This window comes from Homo sapiens, chromosome 6 (genome assembly GCF_000001405.40).
Source record: "Homo sapiens chromosome 6, GRCh38.p14 Primary Assembly".
In the NCBI taxonomy this organism is placed as follows: domain Eukaryota; kingdom Metazoa; phylum Chordata; class Mammalia; order Primates; family Hominidae; genus Homo; species Homo sapiens.
This window is the reverse complement of record NC_000006.12, coordinates 107,301,570-107,319,656: the sequence shown is the minus strand read 5'-3', so window position 1 is coordinate 107,319,656 and position 18,087 is coordinate 107,301,570. Positions and strand designations below refer to the sequence as shown.

Sequence of the window (18,087 nt, the reverse complement as noted above, 5' to 3'; positions counted from 1 at the left end):
TCTTCCTCAAAAACAATTAGAGGGGTAGGCAAGGTAACTTGGACCTCTCTGTTATCTGTTGAATATATTCATCCATTTTAGGTCTTTCCTTAGCATTTTCTAATTTTATCAATGCCCTTATTAAATTCATAAGGCCCCTAACGTCAGGTACCACGTTGTCTTTTGTGGTTGCCATTCTTTCTGTGCCTGGTATACTACTACAAGTTTATAGTCAATCAGAACACCCCAGATCATGACCTCTATTTGCGTGGGAACGTAGCAAAAGCTGGTTTTTAGGTACTGTACCTTCAATGAAGGAAGTTCTGAGGAAGGCAAGTAAAAACACTACAGCTGGTGTTTAAAAGTTTATATAGTGTGTTTTCCTTCTAATTCTTCAGCTTTAAATGTGGGGAGTAGGGGAAACTTTCTATTTGGTTTACACTCCCTGAAGGTATAAGAGAAGAAACATTTATATTTAAATATTTAAAACATTCAAAAAACATGTTTAATTTTTCCACTTTCCGATTTTAGAATTAATTTAGAAACCAGGGACTCTGTAGTACTTGACCAGTTCTTAGTAATTGCACATTCTTTTTTCCATAGCACAAATAATCAGATACTGAGTGTGTGTGTAGTGTGTGTGTGTGTGTATGTGTGTGTGTGTGTGTGTATATATATATATTTTCTTTTTTAACATAGTCTCACTCTGTCACCCAGGCTGGAGTGCAATGGCACAATCTCGGCTCACTGCAACCTCTGTCTCCTGGGTTCAAGTGATTCTCCTGCCTCAGCCTCCCAAGTAGCTGGGATTACAGGCGCCTGCCACCAGGCCCAGCTAATTTTTTGTGTTTTTAGTAGAGATGGGGTTTCACCATGTTGCCTAGGCTGGTTTTGAACTCCTGAGCTCAGGCAATCCACCCACCTTGGCCTCCCAAAGTGCTGAGAATTACAGGCGTGAGCCACCGTGCCCGGCCGATGAACTGAGTATATTTAAATGGGAATTTTTGTGCACCTGCAACTCATGTTTTTAAGAAATAATGGATTGCTAGCTATCTCAGAGAAAATAAGATTATGTCACTATCAAGGCATTATCATTTTTATTGTCTTCTTCAGGGAACTTTTTGGTATATAAGGAAAATTTTTTCATTTTCTACTTCAGATCTTTTTTTTTTAAGCTAACCATTACAACAGACTTATAGGTCATCTCTGATTGTGTCAAAGTAAAAAATTGAATAAAACAATTTGTTCTGTTTTCATAGTTGCTTCTTTTTTGAGTAAACAGAGACCTGGGATCTTCTGGAGCTCAGCCCTCTGGGTGGGAGGATGGGTGCCTAGCACTGCTCTCCGCTGACCTCTTCTGGTCTCCTGTTAGAGCTGTTGTTGAAGTAGATAGCTACTTCCTCTTAGACTGCCTTGGTGAAAGAAGCGGGGCGGTCAAGGAGAAGTGGAGGGAAATTAGCCAGTATATACTTCATTATGATAACCTCCCCACCTGTTTACCGCTCAGGATTCCTTTTGTTATTCTCCCACCCCTGTTTAAAAAAGCGTCTTTACCAGGCACTTTATATATAAAATCATCATTATATGATTTTCCATTTTATTAGATACACTTGTAACTGCCAATCTGAGCTTCTGATGACCACAAGATAACCACTGTCGCATCTTATTAATGAGTACAAAATTAAAGAAAATTAAAAATTTTGTTAACAGATGTTACTTTATCTGGGGGGAGGGGGAATACATTGCTTTCCTTCGACATTTTGGAAAGGGAAAATTACTCACCTCTGTGAAGAACTTGTTACCTACTGTAAATAACCCTTAAAGATCTGCGTACCCCAAACTGGGGACCACTAATCTAACAGTACCATCAAGCAGTAAAGTGCTCACATTATTTTTTGCTGTAGAAATGGTGACCATTACTAATTTGGTGCCATTTTCAAACGGTAAAAGGTGATCTGCATGTTATTGTTATAAATTATGAATATTATATTGGGAGCTTTTATTTTTATCCATAGAATAAGGAGTTGGAGATGTAACCCAAAGCCCTGATGGTGTCCAGTGACAGAATTCCACTTTGTTCCTAAAACTGGGAGGTCAGGCACGGTTGTAATCTATATGCTGTCTTTGCAGAACACATGGTCATCAAACCTAAAATTCAGACAGCTTTACATTTTGAGATAAAATAGGCTCATCACATACAGAAGAAGCCTTTATTTCTGGGAGCTACATTAAAGTCTGTAGTTCATACTATTCCCTCATCACTCTGGGGCTCTCCCTGGCCCCCTCCCATTTTGTGCCCTCTCAGTTTATCACACTTCATCTCTTGTCACACCTTTGTCTCATGTTTCCTCCACATCTGGTTGTGCTTTTTTTCTGTTATTACTGAACATCATCTAATAATACCTAAACCATTTAAACCCTCTGGAATAGGGCAGAGGTGAGAGCAAATGAATAAACTGAAGATCTTAGAGCAGTGGAAAGAAAGAGACGCACTGACAAAATGGCTGCTCTGACACTGCTGCGAGGTGCCGTGGAGGAGAGGTTGGCCATACTCCTCTGTCTCCACTCTCAGCAGGCTCGTTCTTGGTTTGTTCCTTGAGATTCATAATTACATGTAGTATTGAAATGAACGTAGAGCAGTAGTGACCAGCATGGGGCCTAGTTGCTTTTACTTTTTCTGCAGTTCAACAATATAACTTGTTTTTGTATTATGATTGACATCTTATGATTATCTGTACCTTTTGTGACGTCTGGTTACCAGAAGCTTTTTCTGGTAGAAGAAAAGCAAAATTCAAAGCCAGGAATAATACTGCAACCATTTATACAAAGTTTTATGTGCACAATATGTGCAAAGCTATAGATGTAGTATATGTTTTGTTTTTTAAAAAAGCTTTGGAGTCTATACATTTTTTGTTCATTAAATGAAAAATGTTGGTAGGTTAAATACTGCTGAATTAAAACACTGTTGAGGAAGGGAGAACGGCAGTCACTTAAAAAGCTAAATCAGAGTAGATATATAGGGCCTGTTTAAAAAGGCCCAATATTCACGAAAAAAAGAAATCTGTTATACTAAAAGAGGAAAATGAGTATTACTATCATGCTGTCATGATGCTACTCTAAATGCCTCAAAACCACCTAACAATCCATTCAGGAATCTGCCATATTGTAGACCATAGCCATATATAATAGCTGTACTAGAATATAATGGCATTTACATTTAAAAAAAAAAGCAACCTTTTGTAAGTATCTGATTACACCTGAGCTATACTGGATACCATAGCAAAAGAATTAAACCAATCCGTCCTCTGCTGTCTAAAAGTTTATTATATTTTACAGATGTTTTGAGAGTAGACACACATACTAGACATATAAGATACCAGAAAAATTAAAGTGATGTATATATAGCTCATCCTTTTGTCAGTTTAAGGGGAAAGATACAAGGATGCTTACCTCATTCATGTGGGGGTAAAGATTAAGAAGAATAACCAACAGAAATTCAAAATTTGGTCATGACAAGTTATTAAATCAGACTTACAGTTAACATTAAATGGATAATACATTCATCCACTCTGAAATTTGACCATATGTGGACCTGACAAAGGAATTTTTTCTATAACATACTTTTTATTTTTTTAACATGATCCAAACTGTTCTAGAACTTTCTTGCTGACTTTATTTCATTAAGTCCATCAATCCAACTTCAAGATGTTTTCTTCTAATTAGGAAGAGCATTTTTAAAGGATTTCTAAAACTGTATATTGTGATAATCTGAGGTAAATGATCCCGCCCCAGCCTCCTCTCACTTGTTCGCCCACCTTCCCAGTGTATTTCTCCCCTACAGTTCTCACTGGGTAGAATTCTCACTTTAGCTGTTACTTCCCTGGGTAATCCTTACCTTACTTCATCAAGATTTCAATTAGGTCCTCTTCATCTGGGCTCCCTTGGCAAGCTGTATTTTCTTCTGGGACAGCAATTATTGCCCAAGATTCAAATCATTTGGTTTCCTGTCCAAATGCTTCACTGACCTGGCCATGAGCTTCTCAAGTACAGAGATATGCTTTCTTTCTTTCTTTCTTTTTTCTTTTTAATGAATTCTCAGACTCTTATCACAGGGTCTGACATGACAGCACTCAATAAGTGTTCATTAAATGAAAGGAAAGGATCCTTGAATAATCACTACAACTGAGGTCTGTTAATAAAATGTGGGGAAAGTACATTCAGAATATTATCCTTCTAACTGTAATGAATTTTGATATTTTATTAACAGTCCAATCAGGACTTTAGAAATCTCTTCAAAAGATCTCTTTGCTACAAATGTTTATCCTGCCAGTAATTCAGATGCTGTTAACCAGTTATCTGCTGATTTGGCAAAATCCATTAAGTATCTATTATTTTGCAATATTTATTTAAATCTTTGTAACTTATTCCAAGATCTGCCTTCTTGATCACATCTTTCTGGTTATAATAGTTATATCTGCAAATTCTATTTTATTAAATATTGATAAATGTGGGTTTGCTATAAAAATTTAAAAATGGGTTATCCTTTTAAGAAAATAAGTATTTAGAGTAATTGGTAAATTTATTTAAAAATTATATATAATGACAGTATTAAAATGTTTAAAAATAAGTTAATGTAAACAAGACATTTTAAAGTACAGGTTGGTACTTCATTAACTTTAATTTTGTGACTTTTGTCAGTTGATGTCACAACCTTAGTGTTATTTTAAAAATAGTTTTTATAGGGCTACTTAATTAAGTAACATGGTATTTGCTTATTTCAAACAGTCTGCCTTTGTTCCTGTCCAAGCCATGCTGGCAGGGCATTGCTTTTCTTTTCCCTTTTGTTAATATGCTGTGTTAGATAATGGTTCTGTAAATAATAGATTCCAAGGACCTTTGATCCACCGTTACTGTAAAATAAAATGCAACTTAATTTTTTCAGGGCATAATGGTTTTAACCTTGCGTACTAATTTGACTGTGCTTGTGGGGGCAGATCCTTAAATGAGACGCAAATGAAGGAAAAATTGCTAATGCTGCCACTGTATATCTAATGAGCACTGTGTAATAAACCATAACCTCTTTGACATTTCTCTGGAAAGCAGCATGATTATTTTGGATAGCTAGCCCTTTGTGGATGGCTCATTACCGTCTGGCATAATATGTATTGATAGAGACTGTAATTGTCAACTCCTATTTGACATGCTGCCTCTAATAAATATGGCTTGCATCGCTGGAGCCCACTGATGGTTATATGGGAAACTGTAATTAAAGAAAAAAATATATTTTTAGGTTAAATAAGTATATATGTATATAAAATGTCTCTATAGAAGATTATCTGCTTCCTTACTGCCACCACCCCCAGCTTCTTGTCATAGAGTATTTGGAGCTTCCCTGAAGGATTGGTGCTGTTTTATCAGTATAAGGGCCAACATGTGACAAGATGTGTGTGTGTGTGTGTGAATCATCTCCATTGGCAAAGAATTGACAATATGAAAAAGCTCGTTCTACATATATAACATCCATAATACTATAGTATTATTTTATTTTCTTTTGTTTTTAGAGACAGGATCTCTCTCTGTCACCCAGGCTAGAGAACAGTGGAGCAATCATAGTTCACTGCAACCTTGGACTCTTAGATCCTCCTACCCCAGCCTCCCTAGTAGCTGGGACTACAAGTGCTACCTTCATGCGCAGAACAGGATCTTGCTATGTTGCCCAGGCTGGTCTTGAACGCCTGTCCTCCAGGAATCCTTCAGCCTCAGCCTCCCAAAGTGCTAGAATTGCAAACATGAGCCACCACACCTGACCTCATGGTTTTCTTTAACTTTATTTTCATTTTGTTATAAGAATATTATGTTATTTCATACGAAACAAAAGAGGATACCCTACTCAAATTACTAGGAAATATGAACCATTTTAAAGATATTAAAAGCCCACAAAATATGTTACATAATATTTAGGCTGGAAGAAATGTAAATTAAAGATTAAATTGGGCCCTGCTTCATATTATAAAACAAATGTAGGGCCGGGCGTGGTGGCTCATGCCTGTAATCTCTGGCACTTTGGGAGGCTGAGGCAGGTGGATCACTTGAGGTCAGGAGTTCGAGACCAGCCTGGCCGACACGGTGAAATCCCATCTCTACTAAAAATACAAAAGTTAGCTGGGTGTGGTGGCTCATGCCTGTAGTCCCAGCTACTCAGGAGGCTGAGGCAGGAGAATTGCTTGAATCTAGGAGGCAGAGGTTGCAGTGAGCCGAGATCATGCCACTGCACTCCAGCCTGGACAACAGAGCAAGACTCTGTCTCAATAAATAAATAAATAAAGTAAAACAAAACAAATTTAAGCCTAGTCAATTTATAATTTCTGAAAACATAGAATTGGAGTTCTAAAAAATATTTTTATTGTCAATGTGTAATTGTAATATATTCTGAACTTCTGAACAAGGAAGTATACTCTTAGTTTATATGCTACAATTCATTATTTTTATTAAATTCTCAGCATAGGATATAAAATTAGAATGTAAGCACATGTTTATATTTCCTGGAGTAGGCCTAGAGAATCATTTAAAAAATTAGGCAGCTCCTAGATTTCTTCTTAGCAATGTGAAGTCTGATATAGTTTTCAAACTAAGAGAATGGAGCCCCGGGGAGGTGAAGAGAAGTAGCAGTTGGAAGAGCATGACTCTGCTACTCGCCTACCCATAGCTTTCAATTCTGATCCTATTTGTCTAGGCAAATTTTGTAAACTCTCTGAGGACCAGGATACTCATGTATAAAATTGGGGACAATACCATCTATTTACCACAGCTGTTGTAAGGATCAGGTGAAAAACATATATGAAGCACTTAATGCAATACTTTTGGCCCCTAGTAGGTAATCAGTAAATATTAGTTTTCCTCTCTTTCCTCTTTTATCCTCCCTTCTTCCTTCTACCCTCCACAGGTGGCCACATTTCTAATCTGAGGCATTCTTTATTTTCTCAAGTATGTCCTGTCCATGAAGCATAGATTTTTAATCTTGTTAGGTAATGCTAGCTAATAGCTATTAACAGCCAGGCCCTGTTTCAGTTTTCTTACATGTGTCAGCTCACTGAATCATCACAACAACCTCATAATAAGAGATAAGTGCTGTTACCATCCCCATTTAACAGATGGGGAAAACTGAAGCACACAGAGGTGAAGTAATTTGCTCAAAGTGACATAGTAGTGGGGCCAGGGTTTGAACTCAGGAAGTTTAACTCCAGAGCCCATACTCTTAGCTTAGCTATACTACCTCTGCAGGTCATCTCTCCTCATGTTCATAAGACAGAGGGAAAGAATAGGTTCTGGTAGGGTTCTAGAGAGGCCTGGTCCACCTACAAAGGATTGAATTGTCCTTAAAGGACAAATCCAACATAGCCATCAGGGGTAGCAAGGGTATTTCTGGGGAGGATGGATGGCAAACCAGTGAAGGGAGTGAAGGGAGATGCAATAGTGCTGTAGGATACCAAGGAAGGGAGAAAGTGAGGAATAACTATTCTTGCACTAGACCTGCCAGCAAATGCCAAATACTGGCAATACGCTGCATGCACTGTGCTATTTCCTCTGCATGGGATATTGTTCCTACCTTTCTTCATCTGACTCTTACCTCACTTAAGATACAGTTCTGCTCTCCTTTTCTCCAGGAAACATTCCCTAATCCCCAGGCCAACCTAAGTACTCTTTTCTGGGCTCCCTTAGCACACTCTGCATAAGTGTGTACAAACATTAGTGGTGATAGTAGTAATAATTACTGTGTACTGAGCACAGACTATGTGTTAAGGCATTGTGCTGAAAACACTTTACACATGTTATCTCATTTATGTCTCAAAACAATCCTAAAAGGTCAATAGTCACAGCCTCTTTATATGGTAAGGACAGTCAAGCTTAGAAATGTTAAATCATTTAGCCAAGATCTACAGAGCCATAAAGTAGCAGATCTAAGATTTCAACCAGGTCTTTCTTACTGCAAATTCATATTCTCAATAACTACATTTACCATACTTTATTGATATTATCTGCTTTTATTTTTCTCATAATCAGATTATAGACTCTTCAAGGACTACACTGTATCTTCATCTTTTACCCCACATCCTATCAAAATTGTCCTTTAGAGGAGAAAAAAACAAAATATTAAAATGTGCTGATTGAAGGCTGGGTGTCATGGCTCATGCCTATAATTGCAGCACTTTAGGAGGCTGAATCAGGAGGAGCACTTGAGCCCAGGAGTTCAAGACTAGCCTGGGCAACATAATGAAACCCCCATCTGTACAAAAAAATAAAAAATTAACCAGGAGTGATGGCACATACTTGTAGTCCCAGCTACTCGGGAGGCTGAGGTGGGAGAATTACTTAAGGATTACTTAAGCCTGGGAGATCAAGGCTGCAGTGAGCCATGATTGCACCACTGCACTCCACCCTGAGTGACAGAGCAAGACCCTGTCTCAAAAAAAAAAAAAAAAAAGCTGGTTGTGGTGGCATTTTGGGAGCCCAAGGCAGGTGGATCACAAAGTCAGGAGATCAAGACCATCCTGGCCAACATGATGAAACCCTATCTCTACTAAAAATACAAAAATTAGCTGGGCGTGGTGGTGTGCACCTGTTGTCTCAGCTACTCAGGAGGCTGAGGCAGGAGAATCACTTGAACCCAGGAGGCGGAGGTTGCAGTGAACTGAGATCACAACACTGTACTCCAACCTGGGCAACAGAATGAGACTTCATTTCAAAAAAAAAAAAAAAAGTTTATTTTTGCTAAATATACTTGAATTTTAAATGTATTTTATAATGGACTGAGTTTAATGTGTAGGAGCTAAGAGAGTTTCTCCTTCCCCTCTGAAGGTTCAAGCCTGCATAGATAAACTGACAATAGACAGATTAACAGGGAAAATTTAGCACACAAATGTATTAATGAGCACATGGACCTGACAGTCCTGCAGATATGAGACTCAGGGCCAGATGGTTGAGACTTAAATACTCTCTTCATAGAAAGGAAGGTAGTTGGAGGTCTGTAGGCAATTTTAAAGCGGTAGTAAATGATTTTTAGGGGAATGAATGGGCTCAAAGACAAGACAGTGGTTTGTAAATGATTCTCTTTGGACGCTGAATGGGATGGAAGGACAAACCAGTTATGGGAAAGTGAGGGGCAGAAATTCACAGTGAACTAAGGTTGTCTTAATATGCAGATAAAGCGTCCTAGGTAATCTCTCAGAGCTGCCCTCAGAAGAATAGATGAAAAGTCTCTCTGGGCATGGTGATTACTTTTAGTCTTTTCTCTTTTTTGGCAGTGAATCTTTCCTGGTTGTTTTTTTAGATTCTCAGGGAGAGGGAGTCTTAAGACAATTGCATTTCTTTCTCTTTTTTTTTTTTTTTTTTTTTGGGATGGAGTCTTGCTCTGTCGCCCATGCTGGAGTGCAGTAGCGTGATCTCTGCTCACTGTAAGCTCCGCCTCCCAGGTTCAAGTGATTCTCCTGCCTCAGCCTCCCGAGTAGCTGAGACTACAGGCGCCTGCCACCACACCCAGCTAATTTTTTGTATTTTCAGTAGAGATGGGGTTTCACCGTGTTAGCCAGGATGGTCTCGATCTCCTGACCTCATGATCCACTTGCCTCAGCCTCCTGAAGTGCTGGGATTACAGGTGTGAACCACCACACCCAGCCTGAATTTGCTGACACTTTTATCTTGGACTTCTAGCCTCCAGATCTGTGAGAAAATAAATGTCTGTTTAAGCCACCCAGCCTGTGGTATTTTGTTATGGCAATCCAAGCAGACAAATATAGTACGTTATTCTAGATTTTCTTGCTTTAGGACTTAAGTAAAATATTATATGAAGAAATGTTTGTAATTCATAATTTAACATGATAAATATCCAACTATGGGTAGTGCCATGTAACAGCTTAAGATATGCCATTAATAATATAATTAGAATAATCATGTAAGGACTTTGTAGAAACACAGAGAAATGGAATTGCATGTGTTATCAAGGATTCGCAATGACAGCCACCTACCATAAGCCACCTGTGGCACACCCCAGCATCCTTCCGTTCCTGCATTGTGGGCACCAGGGCTTCACCAGCACTCCTTGCCCTCAGGACTCCTGGCTCAGTCTTTTTCATAGAGAAGGCTTAAGGTAGGCCAAGACCTGTGCAATGGAAGGAGAGTTCAATTAGGAGCCATCTAAATTATTACTTAAAGAGAAGCCAAATGGGTACATTTTTATCTTTTGAAACAGCTTGCCAGAGTGTTGTCTGTATCACCTCTTGTTAGAAATCTTGACTTCATTCTTTTCTTCAGAATGAGAATGAAGACAGAGGTCTAAGTTAGCTTCTCTGCTCTCTTCAAACTGAGTTAACTCTGTTACGGCCACTCTGATTAATATGTAGGCCTCTGTTTTAGACCACAGCAGGGCATTGTGCTCAGATGAAAATGTGCAGGTGAAATTAGGAAGTATAATGACTTGACATTCTGATAATTAACTGGCAGTAAATATTCTTCAGTGATATCTAAGACCAACTGTTAACTCATATTTCTTTGGTAGCCTAATTTAAGTAAAACTTTCTTTTGTCTCTGTGAAAATGACTTTTTCACAATTCATTTATTTTTTTCTCCTTAATTTATCCAAATCATTTGGGGCTGTGGCTAGAAGATGAAGGATGTTCCTGGACTTTTCTCCTTTTCTGTATTGTTCTCATTTCTTTTTCCCTCAAGCACTGTCTAGAGGAGACACCCAAGCCTTTGTGCTAAATCTGTGCTCCACCCATATTCCAGTTTCAGTCAGCTGGCTGCAGCCATTTTTATACCACTCCATGGCAGCTGTCGACTCTGTTCATCGTCTGGCAGGGGCAGTGAGCCCTGTTGGGATCAGCAGCAGCAGCAGCAAGCTGACTGGAGCCCCCCAGCACATTATGGTGGCAGCCATGCATGGCATGGAGAGTAGGGTGGGTGTGTAGCAGCAACGTCCTTGCATTCAGTAATCTAAAGTGCTCATCATCTAAGAGAAGTACAACTTTGCTGTCACCTCTTCTTTGGAGTCTTCCCATTCCTCCCCCCAAATCCTCAGTGATCATAACTGTGTACCCCTACAGCAGTTATAGATTGTGGCATTCAGTTTACACTTATGTACTATATAATTTTCTTGTTAAATCTTTTCATTTCATTGTATTGTATCTCCAACTAAACTATGAGCCCTCAGGACACAGACCATGTCTTAAACTACCTTAAGAGAAAGAATACATACTCACACCTTGATACATAGTCGTCGATAAAAGAAAAATGCTTTTTATACTTTATATTTCTAGGGTCTAACACATAGTAGATATTCCATAAATAATTTTGTTGATAATAATTATAATCAGATAATCTAGGTTAACAGTTCTTTCCATTTTTACCTGTTCTCTTTTAAGTTACAAATAATCAAAATATTTAGTTTTTTAAAGTTTGTTTTTTCATTAATTAACTCAGGAGTAGGCTATTTCATGTAGTCATGAAATATATAGATAGATTAAGGTGAACAAGTTTTAGCTTGTTGTAATGGCGCTTATATGTAATCTGAATTGAGTGCCTGTTAAATTATTCTTTCTCCTTTCTTAGTACGTTGTGCTCATCTTTGACTTCTAAATTGGTTTGTGAACCATTTGGTATTATCAACTATCAGGAAGGCCTCTAAAGGGGGAAATTGGTGGCTTCTACTCAGATATTTCACATTTATCTTATTCCTTATAGCCTTACTATCTTCAAAGCTTACTTACAAATACACTCATTTGTAAAGAGAGGAGTCATCAGTATTTGTAAAATAATTACTGTTGGCTTATATTACTCTTTAAGTGATTGAACTTCATTGGAAGAAAGTCTAAGAATGCAGAGTGGTAAAAGGAAGCTGGTTTCCTTTTTAAAAAAGAACCCTACTGTGGACACAGGAATTAACTAGACCAGTGAATAGGGAAGACAATAATGGTAGCAACATGCCAAGATGATTAAATGTGGAAATATATAAAGACGTGAAAGGTAATATAATACCCACAAGAAATGGGAAAAGGTCAGGTTACTTGGAAAAGTATAAAGACATTGCACAGTTTGGTCAGAATAAGTACAATAATATAGACAGCCACCCTCTCAACTGCCTGTTTAAAAAAAAAAAAAAGGCTTAAAAAGTAGAAGTGCCCCATCTGTGAGTTGGAGGTATATCAGATGAGCTTCAAGTACCCTGATTTGAATGCGTACTCTGATTTGAATGCGTAGTTTCAATCAAGTAGTTTGAATCAAGTACGCTGATTTGAATGCGTAGTTCTATCCCTTTGTGAAAAAGTTCATGTATTCTCTGAGATGAACAGGGGACATTTTCAGATATCTCTGTTTCTGATTATTATTATTTTTATCCATGCCAGGCTTTAAGGTCCTTGAGAAGGATTGTGATTGTGTTTATGGTGTAAAGGCATCACCAAGCACATCACAGGTGCTCAGAAAATATGAGGTTGTAGAACCATGTGCACATTTGGACATCCTTCTAAAGTACATTTTATTAGTTATTTGTTAAAAATGCATGTTCACAGAATGTGTGCCTACTTCAATAAGCCATATTATCTGCCTTTTCCAAAAGTGGATATATCCAGAATGCCAGAATGAGAAGTCATGGGCAGACACAGGAAAAGAGAAAGATAAGTGTGGGAGAGAAGAAGGTACAACCAAAAGTAATGTGGTCTTAGAGGTCTCTGTGAAAATCAGATCCTTATGCTTATAACTATTTGAGACCTGAAACAAAGATTTGCAAACTTAACGTCTTTTGCAAACAACACATTTTCTGAGGTGAAAGGGGCATTTTCAGATGTCACTGTTTCTGTTTATTGTGCAGAAAAAGGCAGACTTAGTAATTTGATTATAAAATTCATCTCTGATAACCTTTGTTTTGTACCTTATAGTCAGTGTTAATTGACTTTTAAAATTGCTTGTCAGATATTAGTTCAATTTTTTAAAAACCTTGTATAATAATACATCTGCATACTATATCTGAAGGACCACCAATAAATTATAATTTCTGGAACATATGCATTCCAGCATCATAAAAGGATCTGATTATTCAGTACTACCTGGTTTTATTTTGTCATTAAACAATTTTTTTGAGCAATTTACTGTATTAGTCCGTTTTCATGCTGCTGATAAAGACATACCCAAGTCTGGGCAATTTACAAAGGAAAGAGGTTTGATTGGACTTACAGTTCCACGTGGCTGGGGAAGCCTCACAATCATGGCAGAAGGCAAGGAGGAGCAAGTCACATCTTACATTGATGGCAGCAGGCAAAGAGAGAGTTTGTGCAGAGAGACTCCCATTTTTCAAAACCATCAGATCTCATGAGACTTATTCACTATCACGAGAACAGCACGGGAAAGACCTGCCCCCATGATTCAGTTACTTCCCACCAGGTCCCTCCCACAACACATGGGAATTCAAGATGAATTTGGGTGGGGACACAGCCAAACCATATCACTTACAAACAGAAAACTTATGCTTAAGTTGTTTAGTCAGTTTCTGTGGGCGGGCATCAGGAATTAGAAAAAAGATTCAAAGATAAGGATTGTACTTCTGTCACCCATATGGCCTTGGGGTACTTGTCCTCTTTGGGTAACTATCTGTATGACATTGAACAAAGTACTTAGAATTTCCAGGCATTGATTTCTACGACTGTAAAATGAGGTACCAGGTTAGATGATGGGTATCCTCAATATTCTTCTATTCTGAAAAGAGTCTTAAATTTGGATCTAGCTTAGGAAGGTCTAAATATAATGTTAAGGCCCCTCCGCACTAGACTGTAAGTTTCTGGAACCAACTTTTAATCTACTCTGTATTCCCAATGTTCTGGGGTACCTTCCACATAAGAGGTACTTAACCTTTTCTTGAATGAATAAATAAAGCTGGAGAATTAGGCCCACTTGTCCAGAAAAGCAAAAAAAAGAAGACATTAGTTATCTGTCCACACCTCTAAATAATTGGTGTAATTAGGAATAGACCATGTCTGCTGCCCAGTAGATACTTGACATTACATGAATCCCTGTTGCTTGCATAATGAATGGAATTTCCTCCTTACAACAGTCCTATGAAATAACTGTTGTTAATCCCATTTGGAAATGAGGAAACCAAGGCTTTGGAGGATGAAATAACTTGTAAGATTCTACATGTGATAGAAAATGAAGCCAGGATTCAAAATCAGAGCTTTCTTATAACAAAATTTTTCATTTAGATGAACTTAAACTCACCCTAAAGCGTAAATGACTTACGGTTCTTCCCAGAGAAAGGTTCTGATGTGAGGAGGCATGGTAAGAGCAAGAGGGCCATAGATACCTGAAGTGGAAAATGACCAAGTGCTGGAGGGGGACCGGGACTCAGAAGCCACACTTGCCACCCCTCTAGAGTTGTCCTTGATCCAAACATTGACATTACTTGAAATATTTAGCAATTTTCTTTTCAAGAAGGTATGGTGTTAATATGAAAAAAAAAGTATTTGCTGATGAAAAAAATTTATTGATTGTAGAAGCATTGTCTGGGAGTTGGGGCACCTGGATAATAGTTCTAATATCTAAAACCTATGAGACTTTAAGTTATTCAGTAGACCTTTCTGCTCTGCTGAAAGTCTAAATCAGTGATTTTTCACAGGTTTATGAAAGGGATTTCAATGACTGGTCAGGGCTGGGGGATAAAGAGGGGACTGGAGGAGCAGGAAAGTATTGCCCACCACCGAGAGGAGCATCCAGAAGTCCAGAGGACTCTGTGGTCTGTGCCAAGCCCAGGATTTCCCCACAGGAGTGCCTGTGGTCGTATAATGGATGACTCCCTGTCACCACAGGTTCAGGTATTGCTGCTTTGTGGGTGACTCACTTTTGAGCGATACTTACCAGATAGTTGGTATGTCAACTTTTCTCTAAAGATTTATTTAAATGGAAAGATGAGTTGGTTTAAAATCAGTAATAGGTAATATTTAGTAAGCACTTACTATTGAAGTTATTGTTCTAAGGACTAGATATACAGTAATTTAACCCCCATGACACTTTGACACATGTGCTATTGTTACCACCATTTTACAGATGAAACGACTGGGCACTGAGAGTAGCTGAGCACATTGATCCAGCTCACGCAGCTATTAAGTGGAATAGCTGGGATGTGAATCTAGGCAACCTGGCTCTAGAATCTGCTCTTTTAAGTTCTATGCTATGTGGTGTCTCTATACATAGATAAAAATCCTAAGAAAGGACTTAAAGGTAAAATCTAAAGAAAAGCGTTACGTATATAAGAGTACATGCGGAATATGCAGAAATGACAAAAAGTGATAAGTAAATAACTGAAGTTTGTAAATGTAGCTCTGGAGCATTGCCTCTGGCAACTCCCAGATAACCCTGAATTTCAGATTCCCTGGAGAAAGAAGCTAAGGGCCTTTGATTGGGCCTGTTGCTCAGCTCTGGGTCACTCAACCAGGGTTGGGGAGACTGAGGGTCACATAGAACAGACATGGCAGCTACTACCCACTGTATAATCTCAGTGGGGAAGGGAGAGGAAGCATTTCAAGAAAAAAGGGAATCATTATCAGGGTCCCTCAAGAAGGTGCCCACCATAATAGTCAATGGCTAAGTCTGGGCTGATGTCAGGGCATAAGTTAGAATTGTTTTTCTTTTCTGAATCCTGGACATGAAGTTTATGTCCTTGTTATTTCAGAGACTTATGGAGAAGTTATAGATGGTCAAAAAACAAATGGTTTCTCTTTTTGCTTTGAAAGTAAAATAACTCATTTAGGAGTTATCTAACACAGTTTTAAATGTCATACTCTTTGATCCTGTAATTTCACTTGTACAGATATGTCCTACAGAAATACCCTACATATGCACATGGATATATGTATGAAGATGTTCGGTGCAGCAGTGTTTACAATAATAGAGAATAGGACATGACCTAAATAGTTTTTAGTGGGGTCTGGAGAATATTGTGGTACATCCATACTATAAATAAATAACCATCATTAAAAAGAATTAGGTGGTTCCATATTTTGTGACATAGAAAAGTCTTCAAACTAAGTGAATAAAGCAAGTTGTAGTACCATATGTATAGTATGAACACATTTTTATGGAAAAATGCATAGCATTTGTTCCATGGTTGTAAATGCATAGCATTTGCTATATGTTTATAAACATATGTTAAAAACATATAGCAAAAATCTGAAAGAAAATATGCTAAGCTATAAAAGAGATAACTTCTGGGGAAGGAAGTAGAGTGGAAGGATGATGAACCTAGTGGGGACCCAGAGGAGACACTGTATCTCTGTCCAAAGAAATTGCTATGATTACACGTTTGTCCCCTCCAAAACTCATGCTGAAACTTGGTCCCCAGTGTAGCAGTGTTAGGAGATGGGCTGATGAGAGGTGATTGAATCATGGAGCTCTCATGAATGTTTTATTGTCATTATTGAGGGAGTGGGATGTTGTAAAGGGAGCCAAGCCCATTGTGCTTTCCCTCTTTAGTACTCACTCCCTTGCTCTTCTGCGATGGAATGACACAGCACAAAGGTCCTCACCATATGCCAACCCCTCAACCTTGGATTTCCCAGCATCCAGAACCATGAACTATTCTTTATAAATTACTCAGTCTGTGATACTCAATTTAGTAACAGAAAATGGACTTAGACAGAAATATAATTTTAATCTGCTAGTAGCCACACTAAAAATGTAAAAGGAAACAAATGAAATTGATTGTAATATTTTTAAACTAAAATATCATTTTAACATGTAATCAGTGTAAAGCACTTATTATTGAGATATTTTAAATTCTTTTTTTTTTTTTGGTAGTAAGTTTTTACAGCACATCTGAATTCAGACCAGCTACAATGTTTTAAGGGCTTAGTAGCTACATGCAGTTGACGGCTATCATATTGATATACTTTTATATTATTTTAATTTTTTTACAGGAAGAGCATACTCTCATATGACTTATATGATATTTTTTAAAGTAGGCCATTAAATAATTGTGATGTTTTTTAAAGACTCCCTAAGTCTTTATAGGAAATATTATCCAAGAGAGGGAAAGACATACAATCTGAATGTTAAATAGAGGAAAGATTTAATTCAGGCACTGTGGCTTATGCCTGTAATCTCAGCGTTTAGAAAGGCCGAGGCAGGAGGATGGTTTGACACCAGGAGTTTGAAACCAGCCTCGGCAACATAGTGAGACCTCATCTCTATAAAAAAAATTAGCCAGGCATGATGGCATGCACCCGTGGTCCCAGCTATTCAGGAGGCTGAGGTGGGAGGATCCTTTGAGCCCAGGAATTTGAGGCTGCAGTAGGCTATGATCACACTACTGTACCACTCCAGCCTGGGTAACAGTGTAAGACTCTGTCTCAAAAAAAAAAAAAGAGGGAAAGTTTAAAATGAGATGGCATTTCCAAATATCTTTTTAAACAATCGGATCCTACAAAATACTCTTACTACCGTGCATGATAAATTATTTTCAGACTTCAGATCTGCCTATAAAAATTGTGAATAGTCTCATTGAAGGCTAACTTTTCTAAAGAACAGTTTTATTGAGAAATCATTTACATATCACCCATTTTTAAGAATACAAGTCAATAATTTTTAATATATTTACAGAGTCGTGCAACTATCATTACTATCTAATTTTAGAACTTTTTTATTACCTAAAAAATAAACCTTAAGCCCATATAGAGTCATTACCTACTTGAACTTTTTTTTTTTTTTTTTTTTTTTTTGAGATAGAGTCTCACTGTCACCCAGGCTGGAGTGCAGTGGCGTGATCTCGGCTCACTGCAACCTCCACCTCCCGAGTTCAGTGCTTCAGCCCAGACCATGCCTGGCTAATTTTTGTAATTTTAGTAGAGATGAGGTTTCACCATGTTGGTCAAGCTGGTCTCAAACTCTTGACCTCGTGATCTGCCTGCCTCAGCCTCAAAAAGTGCTGGGCTTACAGGTGTGAGCCACCAAACCCAGCCTGGACTATTTTTTTAAATTTTCATTTTACCTTTTCAAGTGTTTGGAATTTTTAATGAAACTAATTATAAATAGCAACAATATAAAATAAAAATGTCAACATACTTTTACTGA

General features: G+C 38.0%; 1 protein-coding gene across 15 annotated transcripts in view; it reads left to right on the top strand.

The window, feature by feature from the left end:
* The window catches only part of PDSS2 (decaprenyl diphosphate synthase subunit 2), a 307,003-nt gene that overhangs the window by 139,908 nt on the left and 149,008 nt on the right, over positions 1-18,087 (top strand). The window lies entirely within an intron of this gene.